This window comes from Homo sapiens, chromosome 19 (assembly GCF_000001405.40).
Source record: "Homo sapiens chromosome 19, GRCh38.p14 Primary Assembly".
NCBI lineage: Eukaryota > Metazoa > Chordata > Mammalia > Primates > Hominidae > Homo > Homo sapiens.
In genome coordinates this window covers 11,951,515-11,963,243 of record NC_000019.10, presented here as the reverse complement: position 1 = coordinate 11,963,243, position 11,729 = coordinate 11,951,515, and the positions used below count along the sequence as shown (strand labels likewise).

General features: G+C 43.5%; 1 protein-coding gene and 1 pseudogene across 1 annotated transcript in view; one reads left to right on the top strand and one right to left on the bottom strand.

Annotated features, from left to right (window-relative positions):
* The window catches only part of ZNF69 (zinc finger protein 69), a 92,441-nt gene that overhangs the window by 16,979 nt on the left and 63,733 nt on the right, over positions 1 to 11,729 (bottom strand). The window lies entirely within an intron of this gene.
* Positions 9,770 to 10,055, top strand: VN2R21P (vomeronasal 2 receptor 21 pseudogene; annotated as a pseudogene).

Below are 11,729 nucleotides of genomic sequence, written 5' to 3'. Positions count from 1 at the left end.
GTGGTGTGTACCTATAGTCTCAGCTAGTCAGGAGGCTGAGGCAGGAGGATCACTTGAGCCTCAAAGTTTGAGGCTGCTGTGAGCTATGATCAGGCTACTGCACTTCAGCAAGACACTGTCTCAAAACACACACACACACACACACACACACACACTCTCTCTCTCTCTCACCAAACTACCTGGGGAAACCCTGACCCCCTTGGATGGTCTAATTGTAAAACATAACAGGTGGTGATATTTCCTCATCGACTGGATCATTCCGCCACATAAGAGGCTTGGCCTACTGAGGATTTACCAGGCAGGATGACCTCCTTGCAGTCAATGGAAAAAGCCCCTGGTGAAACCATCCCTTTAAACTTTATCAAATTCATCAGGGAGGATGGGAGGAGGAAAACTTAAACCAAGCTTGCAGCACCTTCAGCATTAATCATTAAGTCAGCTTGTTCTCTGACCTTCCTCATATTTGTTTCATACCTAGTGTCCTAGAATCCCACAGACCCTAAATGATAGTTCCGGTTAACTGCTCTATAGATACCAACTTGAACATTAGATGTTCTCCCTTTGAAATATATCTGTTTCAGGGCTGGGAGTATTGGTCCATGACTGTAATCTCAGCACTTTGGGAGGCTGAGGTGGGGGGGGGTCACTTGAGCCTGGGAGTTCAAGAACAGCCTGGGCAATATAGTGAGACTCCATATGTACAAAAAAATTTAAAAACAGTCGGGCATGTTGGCATGTGCCTTTATTCCCAGCTACTTGGGAGGCTAAGGCAGGAGGATCCCTTGAGCCCAGGAGTTTCTGCAGTGAGCTATGATCCCACCACTGCACTCCAGCCTGGGAAACAGGACATGGAGATGAAACCAGAAAGTCTTGTATTGAACAAGTGCTGGCAGTATATAATGCTTTCCAGCAGGTAGAATCCTTAAGAAAGAATCTTTCTCTCACTATGAGAGTGGGAGTATCATGCCCGGCTAATTTTTTGTATTTTTAGTAGAGACAGCGTTTCACCATGTTGTCCAGGCTGGTCTTGAACTCCTGAGCTCAGGTGATCCACCCCCCTCAGCCTCCCAAGTGCTGGGATTACAGGTGTGAGCCACCACGCCCGTCCTCCCACTAAGTTTCGTTCATTTGGCCGAGCACAGTTTCTTACGCCTTAATCCCAGCACTGGGGTGGCCAAGGCAGATAGATCGCTGGAGACCAAAATCTTGGGCTATGACCACCCTGGGCAACATAGTGAGACCTAGTTTCTATTTATTTTTATTTAAAAAAGAAAACAATATATATGTGTGTGTGTGTGTGTGTGTGTGTGTGTGTGTGTGTAAAAGAGGCCAAGCGTGGTGGTTCACGCCTATAATCCTAGCACTTTGGAAAGCCGAGGCAGGTGGATCACCTGAGGTCAAGAGTTCGAGACCAGCCTGGCCAACATGGTGAAACCCCATCTCTAACTAACAATACAAAAATTATCCAGATGTGGTGGCACGCACCTGTAATCCCAGCTACTCTGGAGGCTGAGGCAGGAGAATCCCTTGAACTCAGGAGGCAGAAGTTGCAGAGAGTTGAGATCGCGCCATTGTACTCCAGCCTAGGCAACAGAGCACAAACTCCATCTCAGAAAAAGAAAAAGAAAGTTTCCTTTTTGTCCCTAGCTGTTAGGCTATCACTACTATTACCAGCAGTTTCCTGTGAAGCAAACCTATTCTCACAATGGGTCCAAGAGGAAAAGCAGAAAATTTGGAGACATTCCAGGTAGATCCAAATGCAGCACTTGTATGACAGTATATGGTTAATGTGAGGACTCTTGGGGTGACTTAGCTCAGGCTAGTATAACAAAACACCATGGACTCAGTTTCTTAAACAGCAGAAATTTGTTTCTCACAGTTCTGGAGCTTGGGGAATCCAAAATCTTGCTGCCAGCAATTTTGTTCCTAGTGAAGGCTATCTTCCTGGCTTGCAGCTAGATGCCTTCTTGCTTTGTCCTCACATGTTGGAGAGACAGAGTTCTCTCTCTCTCTCACTAATCCCATTATGAGGGCCCTCTTTTATAAATGTTATGTGATATCCTAAAAGGTTCGTCGTGTCCAAATATGACCGTGTTGGGGTTTAGGGCTTGTACATATAAATTTTGTTTTTAAGACAGGGTCTCCCTCTGTGGCGCTGGCTGGTTTTAAATTCCTGGGCTCAAGGGATCCTCCTGCCTCGGCCTCCCAAAGTGCTGGGATTACAGGTGTGAGTCACCACACCTGGCCTCTAAGTATATATTTCGAGGAGAGTAAATGCAAGACATGCCAAGGGGCAAATGGAAGTCTATAAAAGAGGCTTTGGAGACAATGTAATCAGACAGGACTTTATCACATAGCAGATGGGGAGCAAGAGTCAAGGAATGAGGTCCAATTTCAGAATGGCAGAAAGAAGGGACATCGAGGTAGCTGTATGACTGTATGAAGGAGCAAAATGCATGCCAGGGCCACTACATGGTAAATTATTTTAATTAGGTAAAAAATGAGAATAAGAAAGAAAAACAAGTAGTCATAATGAAAATGAAAAACAGAATAACCTTGGTTAGTATGCAGTTGTTAAAGATTTTAAATAAAATATTTGTCAGAAACATGTACAGATATCTTGGTTTAAAAAAAAAAAAAAACCGCTCATTGCTGAGCGTGGTGGATCATGTCTGCAATCCTAGCACCTTGGGAGGCGAAGGCAGGAGGATTCATTGAGCCCAGGAGTTTGAGACCAGCCTGGGCAAAACACTGAGACCCCTGTCTCTACAAAAAACTTTTAAAAATTATCTGGGCAGAAAGCTGAGGTGAGAGGATTGCTCAAGCCTAGGAGCTTAATGCTGCAGTGGGCAGTGAGTGGCCACACCACTGCACTCCAGCTGGGCTACAGAGCAAGGTTGTCTCAAATTAAAAACAAGAAAACAAGAGACGGGCGCAGTGGCGCACGCCTGTAATCCCAGCACTTTGGGAGGCCAAGGCGGGCAGATCACGAGTTCAAGAGATTGAGACCATCCTGGCCAACATGGTGAAACCCCATCTCTACTAAAAATACAAAAATTAGCTGGGGGTGGTGGTATGCGCCCCGGGACGCTAAGGCACGAGAATTATTTGAACCTAGGAGGCAGAGGTTGCAGTGAGGTGAGATCACGCCACTGAACTCCAGCCTGGACAACAGAGCCAAACTCTTGTCTAAAAAAAAAAAAAAGAAAAAAAAAACACTACAAATTAGTCAAATGTAAGAGGATGACTGGGAACTGCAACACAGAAGATGAAAGATCATATAGGAAAAATGCTCAACCAATGGCAACCAGTGAAAAAATACATAATCTTACAGAGATTCTACTTAAGAGTAGATGGGCAACAAAAAGTGAGTTAGATAATTCAAAGTGTTGACAAATCACAAGAATAAAGACACGTGCATGAAAGGTGAGATGGTTAATTCAGAAGTTACATTCATACTCTATCGACATTTCATAGTAAATTTGAATTTATCCATAATCTACAAGCCAGCAATTATTTCCAATTAGGGACAAAAACAAGAAGAGTACTATCAATAAGATCAAAAGATAGACTTGAACCAACTCAAGTCCCATTAAGCAGCGAAATAAGAGAATCAATTACATGACCCACAACTTCACAGAGCAGCATGTCTACAACAGGCTCAGGCAAAAAACCCAGAAACACACCCTCTCAGCATAATACTAATGGTGTATTAATGGTAACATTATGTTACTGAGAATTCAAAAGTGGGAAAATTCTGCTTTGTGACAAAGAGATGACAAAGATACAAAGAATAACAAAAAGAATCAAAACTTTGATCACCTTTGCATATCAAAAATAAGTGAGACCAAGGAGACACACCAGAACTGCCCAAGGCCTATTTATTTTTTGGGGTGGTATGTGTCTGAGTATTCATATTGTTATTATTTTGACTTGGCATAAAACAGCTTATTAAAAAACTATTTCCTTCTGCAAAGGTTACCAAACTACTCATTAAGGTTCCAACCAGCTAATTAAAATCCTAACACCCAAATCATAAAACAAAATTCTCAGATGTGGCCAGGTGCAATGGCTCATGCCTGAAATCCCAGAACTTTGGGAGGCTGAGGCAGGTGGATCACTTGAGGTCAGGACTTTGAGACCAGCCTGGTCAACATGGTGAAACCCTGTCACTACTAAAAACACACACAAAAATGAGCAAGGTGTGGTGTCATGTGCCTGTAGTCCCAGCAACTTGGGAGGCTGAGCAAAGAGAATCGCTTGAACCTGGGAGGCAGAGGTTGCAGTGAGCCGAGATCACGCCACTGCACTCTAGCCTGGGCGACAGAGTGAGATTCTGTTTGAAAAATAAATAAATAAATAAATGAGCAAACAAACGAATGAATGATCTGATGCATGCAGAAAGAGCAATTCCATGGTAGCAAGATTCTATAAAAGAAACAAAACGGAGGCAGCTCAGGTAGGCAGCCTGCCTCACCCACAGCTCACAAGGAAACCCACACTCCAATAGTTACACATTCCCAAGCTTAGGAACCACTTGGACTGTGGAGACACAGGCCAGGCTGGCCCACTCCTAGGCAGTGTGTGAGGGAAATGTGAGCAGCCAGAAAATTAATTCTGGGACTTCTACTAACACCCTTGTAGCCCCTCCCCACAGTGTGGACACAGTCCTTCCACCGGGGTCTCAATGCCCACCAAAGACCACTCGCTCACTGTGAGTCAGTGGAAGGTTCTGACCTATGGTGTCTTTTGTTTCTGACACCAGATGTGTGGTGCTTGCTGAACACCAGCGAATTCTCCAGCACTAAGCAGTCATGCAACCACTCAATTCAGAAGCCACCCAGAGTTAGCAGAGACTCCATGAGTTCCTGGCTCACCCAACACAGCCCCACTCAGCAGATGCCACTCAAAGCCCTAGGGGCCACCTGTACTTCTCAGCAACTGCATCTAGACCTGGGTCCTGTACAACACCTTACTCAAGTTCCATAATTTGATAGAACTACCCACAGTTCACTTATATTTACCCACTTACTATGAAGGATACAACTCAGGACGAGTCAAATCAGAGACATGGATAGAAAAAGAGTAAGGGGTGTGGAAAGGAGATGGGGGTGGGTGGGCAATCCTGAAAATGGCTGTGATTCATGAAATCCCCCATCCTTTGTGTTGTGCAAGAGCACCTTACTACAATGAAACAAGCTTCCCATGGTGAATTAGATGGTGCCACGTTTGTTACCTATGACAAACCAGACACCCACTAGATATTCCAGTATTTACCTCACAAACCATTAGGTGAACAGTTTTCTCTTTAGTGATCTTTAGTCAAAATGAAATATCTATCTACCAAAGCATGCTTCAGTTTCTCTCCTTCCTCCAGGTCCCTGAACTTTTTTCTTTTTTTGAGACAGTCTTGTTCTGTAGCCCAGGCTGGAGTGCAGTAGCATGATCTTGGCTCACTGCAACCTCCGCCTCCCTGGTTCAAGTGATTCTCATGCCTCAGTCACCAGACTAGCTGGTGTTACAGGTGTGTGCCACCACACCCAGCTAATTTTTATATTTTTCATAGAGATGGTGTTTCACCATGCTGGCCAGGGTGGTCTTGAACTCCTGATCTCAAGTGATCTGCCCATCTCAGCCTCCCAAAGTGCTGGGATTACAGGCATGAGCCACCACACCCAGCCACCCCTGAATTTTTGACTGATCCCTTCTAGGCTTATATGCAACCCCACTTTATGTATTTATTTAATATTTTTATTTTTACTTGCAAGTTCAGTACCTAGACTCTTTTTATGACCTCTCCTAATGACAAGCTGATTTCAGGGTCATTAAGGTAATTAAAAGTTACTTCTTGGCTGAGCACGGTGGCTCACGCCTGTAATCCCAGCACTTTGGGAGGCCGAAGCAGGCAGATCACGAGGTCAGGAGATTGAGATCATCCTGGCTAACATGGTGAAACCCCATCTCTACTAAAAAAAATAGAAAAAATTAACTGGGCATGGTGGCGGGCGCCTGTAGTCCCAGCTACTCGGGAGGCTGAGGTAGGAGAATGGCATGAAACCGGGAGGTGGAGGTTGCAGTGAGCTGAGATCGTGCCACTGCACTCCAGCCTGGGCGACAGAGCGAGACCCCATCTCAAAAAAAAAAAAAAAAAACTTATTTCTTACTGAAACCTACATTTGTTTCACTAGAAACGTCTAGGAAAAGCTCCATGACAAAAACTGTCACTTGCGGAGGGCATCACTGAGTACTGTATCTGCCTGTGGATCCCTAGCTTTCCAGGGATCTGAGGTTCTGTCAGTATAAAGCGCTCCTCCCATGGTCAATTTGAGCAGCTGAAAACACCTGCAGTGGGAGCACCATGGGAAGAACCAGGTGAGCTTTATTTATTTTTTTGGAGAGTCTTGCTCAGTCATCCAATCTGAAGTGCAATGGTGTGATCTTGGCTCACTGCAGCCTCCGCCCCGAGTTCAAGCAGTTCTCATGCCTCAGCCTCCCGAATGGCTGAGATTACAGGCTTGAGCCCCTACACCTGGCTAATTTTTGTATTTTTAGTAGAGATGGGGTTTCGCCATTTTGGCCAGGTTGGTATCAAACTCCTTACCTGAGATGCTCCATCTGCCTTGGCCTCCCAAAGTGCTGGGATTACAGGTGTGAGCCACTGCGCCTGGTGTGAGCTTTCAATGACCTCTCTTTGTAGGTTTCTCACTGGCTTTAGTTTGCAGTCACTGGACTCAGGCCTCTGTTTCAATGAGAAAATACCCAGTGTTTGAAGAATCCGGCAAAATCTCTCAAACTCGGTTTATTATAGGCTGGAAGGAAATTATAAGGCACTTACCTATCACCCCTCATCAGGGAAAGTATCTAACCCTTTCACTCAATAAACATATTGAGAAATGTGTTTACGCTACCATGTAATTGCTCCTTCCGTGTGCATGTCAAAAAGATTAACTCTCTTCCTTGTTCTTGGGCTATAAGTCATTAGAAAACACTGAGAAGTGCCAGAGGTAGGATCCTTTTGATACCACTACCCCTCCTTACAAAAAGTTAAAGCAATCATCCTTGAAATTTGGTAAGCTGCAATTTGGCAAGCGGCAACCAATGAAATCATTGAAATATATGCATTGGCTTTGTATGGAAAATGTAACCCTATTAAGCATCTTCATTTTGCCCTACAGAAGTGAAGACTTAACTTCTCCAGTTAAGAGTGGGAGCAGTGACCCCACTCTTCAGGATGTGTTTCCCCAGTGGCTACCCTCAAACTTTGTGTTCACATAAACTCAATATTTAATCATATTATCTGAATTTTATTATCTTATTAAGGTGGACATTATTACTTCATTATGATTTCCATAACAAAGCACATACTACACATTAACCATATGTGAATATAAACATATCACAACAGTTGCCAGCCAGGTCTTACCCCACAGATAACAGGAAGAGAAGAGTTATCCACCGTTACAAGTTCTCCAACCTGCAAAGGAGGACTGATATTTTTCCGAATCTTTGTAATTCACTGATTATCTACTATACTTTGTTGTAGAAGTTTATTCCTTTTCTCCAGCTGTAATAAAAGATTTTCCCTATTTCTTTTCCCAAGCAGCATTCCCAAAGCTAAGCCCTGAAACTGTTAGAAATGATGCATAAATGGCCAGGCACGGTGGCTCACACCTGTAATCCCAGCACTTTGGGCATGGTGGCGTGCACCTGTGGTCTCAGCTATTAGGGAGGCTGAGGTGGAAGGATAGCTTAAGCCTGGAAGATGAAGGCTGCAGTGAGCTGAGATTGTGCCACTGCATTCCAGCCTGGGCACCAGAGCCAGACCTTGTCTCAAAAAAAAAAAAAAAGAAAGAAAGAAAAAGAAATCATCCACGAAAAAGGATAGACCAAGAAATGTACTACACGGCCTCTAAGGAAGAAAAAAATTAAACAAGAATTTTCAGGCTGGGCACGGTATCTCACGCCTGTATCCCAGCATTTTCGGATGCCGAGGTGGGCGGATCACAAGGTCAGGAATTTGAGACCAGCTTACCCAATATGGTGAAATCCAGTCTCTACTAAAAATACAAAAATTAGCCAGGCATGGTGGTATGCGCCTGTAGTCCCAGCTACTCAGGAGGCTGAGGCAGGAGAATCACTTGAACCTGGGAGGCAGAAGTTGCAGTGAGCCAAGATTGAGCCATTGCATTCCAGCCTGGGCAACAAGAGTAAAGCTTTGTCTCAAAAAAAAAAAAAAAAAAAAAAAAATTTTTTTGAAACAAACTCTATATAAGACAAATGATATTTTTCTGAAATCTGTCTTTATCTGGGCTCTGTGCAAAATTTTCTTATCTTTCCAATTGTAATGAAAATGCAATTTACAATTCATTAAAAAAAATCTGAAGCTGCAATAAGTGAACAATTTTTTTTGTTTTTTGTTTTTTAACAAAGGCCCTCACTCAATTACCCAGGCTGGAGTGCAGGGGCACAATCACAGCTCACTGCAGCATCAACCTCCCAGGCTTTGGTTCTCCTTCTGCCTCAGCCTCCTGGATATGGTATGTGCCACCACATCCAGCTAATTTTTTGTATTTTTTGTAGAGAGAGGGAATCGTCATGTTGCTGTGGCTGGTCTTGAGCTCCTGGGCTCAAGTGATCCTCCTGCCTTGGCCTCCCAAATTGTTGGGATTACAGATGTGAGCCACTGTGCCCAGCAATGAATAATTCTTTATAAGGAGACAAACCTTGTCTGGGCATGGTGGCTCATGCCTCGAATCCCAGCACTTTGGGAGGCTGAGCTGGGAGGACTGCTTGAGACAAACAATTAGAGAGCAACCCAAGCAACATAGCATAATCCTGACTCTATTACTTAAAATTCTAAATGAAAGTCTGAATGAAAAGCAGAATTTCCCACCTATTCTCTCTGAGGGAGCCTTCATCTGCATAAAAAGGTCTGCTTTGCTAGCCAAGCTTCTTCCTTTCCTCTTGCAGAATCTGTCTTGCTATTAAACTTGACTTACCCATCAAACCTGGGATTTTTTGGCCATGCCACATCTGCATTCTTTCCTACCCTGGAATGGTATATAAGTTTTTGTCTTATTGTTGGGTGGGTCTTCATTCTGAAGGCTCCCATATATACATGTTAAATAAATTTGTATAACTTTTCTCCTATTAATCTGCTTAACTTCCTTGATCTGAAATTTTTTTCCTGTTTTTTCACCTTGTTTTATAAAAAAAGCACAAAAGTAAAACATGCATACGTAAAAATGAGCATTTTCATACCTCATAAATCAAGGTATTTTCCATATATAACCAGAAAATGCTGTTCATATTTAATAATTCCTTAACATCAACACAGAGTAATATTAAAACCTTATTAATTGTGTAAAGTGGAATTCTGAAAGCTTACCTTTGAATACATTTCATTTTCTCTGTTACACATTGAAGAAAGTGTGATGTTATGGTATGTATTTGTTTTCATCCAGGGTAATGTTGGGTGTGTTAGGCCTCTGGGGAAGGCCCCTGACCTGCTGCCCTCTTTCCACTCAATGTTTCCCCACCTTTTTTATTGTGGGTCTTAAAACCCTCCCATGAGAGGGTCCCACTGACTTTGTGAAGAGTTTTAGTCTTGGAAATACTCATGATATTCCCTATCTGTAGCTGTTTGTCTCAAGTTAGTTCAGAATAAACCACGAGTGTGTGGATTGCTAAAATAACTTATTTCTAAATGCTGCAAGTCAAAAATTGCAGATTTCCTTGTCTAACCAGATGCAGAAAAGCATATGTTATAAAGGATCAGGACTCCAACAGGAACCAACATCACTGCCTTCTAAAATTAGTGGCCTTCCTGGCATATGAACACCCTTTGGGCCTGTGCTCCAGTGTCTCTTTGGGTTGCTCCTTGGGCTCTTTGTGAAGGATCAAGACACCCCCGTAGTCTAGGCCAATGTCAGGCTCTCCAGTGTGTCCTGTTCATCACCCTCACCCTGCACTTCTATTGTTACTGTCTTTGGCTATTCCAACACTGTGCTTGCATCCTGTGGAAAGTCACATTTGGGGTCAAGTGGATGGTGGTGTTTCTACTCTTTGGTGAAAAGTATCAGGGTGCATTTGGCCTTCAAGGCAGAAGGATGAGACAGGGGTTAGATCCAGGTGCACCCAACTCTTTTTTAATTTTTTTTGTGTGTGTGTGATGGAGTCTCGCTCTGTTGATCAGGCTAGAGAGTGCAGTGGCGTGATCTCAGTTCAGTGTAACATCTGCCTCCCAGGCTCAAGTGATTCTCCTGTCTCAGCCTCCTGAGTAGCTGCGATTACAGGCACACACCACGATGCCCAGCTAATTTTTGTATTTTTAGTAGAGATGGGGTTTCACCATGTTGGCCAGGCTGGTCTTCAACTCCTGACCTCAAGTGATCCACCTGCCTCAGCCTCCCAAAGTGCTGGGATTACAGGTGTGAGCCACTGCACCTGGTCAGGTGCCCCCATCTCTGCCACTGCCCTGTCTTCCCTGCTGTGAGTCACTTTGTGTGATCTGACAATCAATGACTCCACCCTTCACTGATGAGGATGCATTATCTGAGACTGGGTATGTCATCTCCACACACAGATAGGGTTTGGTCAATGATTGATGCTGCATCCTTTGGTGCCTGGATTTTGACAGTGTTTTTTAAATAAGGGTTTCTGAAGAGCAGCTTCATTGGTACCTTAAGGGAAGTGACTGAATTGTTCTATGCCATTGCATAATATATAAAAGTTACTTTTCCACGTTGCTGTTAACTTTACACTGCTGAGATAAGCAGGCTGTTGACAAGTTAGCATCAACAGCACATTATCAGAGAAAGAAAGGCTTGTATTCAGACAATTTACACAACTGTATTAGCTTCCTATGACTTAGTAAAACAATTTGAAAAAATATAGCTTTATAAGGCATAAATGAATTTGTATGTTTTAACTAAGGTACTTTCTAGTAAACAGTGCCCATACATTTTAGGAAATATTTTAGTCTTTAGAGAATAAGTAAGGCAAAACCCGGTCCAAGAGTCTAGAGCTGACCTCCCCTCATCACAAGGCCAAGTCTTTTTTTTTGAGATGGAGTTTCACTCTTGTTGCCCATGCAGGAGTGCAATGGCGCCATCTTGGCTCACTGCAACCTCTGCCCTCCCCCGAGATTCAAGCGATTCTCCTGTCTCAGCCTCCTGACTAGCTAGGATTACAGGAGCATGCAACCACACCTGGCTAATTTTTGTAATTTTAGTAGAGATGGGGTTTCATCATATTGGTCAGGCTGGTCTCAAAGTATTGACCTCAGGTGATCCGCCTGCCTCAGCCTCCCAATGTGCTGTGATTACAGGCGTGAGCCACAGTGTCTGGCCAAGGCCAAGGCTTTTACCATTGGAGAGACACAAGTCACATACCGGGCATATGAGACGATGCTCCTCAGTGACCATGATGGATCAGGACAAAAAAAGAGAATATTTTATAACTATATTTCTAAATGTGATAAAAGAAAACATATTTCAAATCATAAACATGACCAAAATTTTTCTCTTCTTACTAATGTGACTTGTAATTCTCATACATCCCACAGTCATTTATGACTTGTGGTCATATTTACCACTACAGTATATTACACCCTTGCTGACAGCAGGTATGGCACTGGTGGTTTTGGGGAAGAAGGCACTCAGAGGTATATGAGATAACTTTTGGCATAATGAGTGAATGAAAAATTAGGGTTGAGGCCGGGCCCAGTG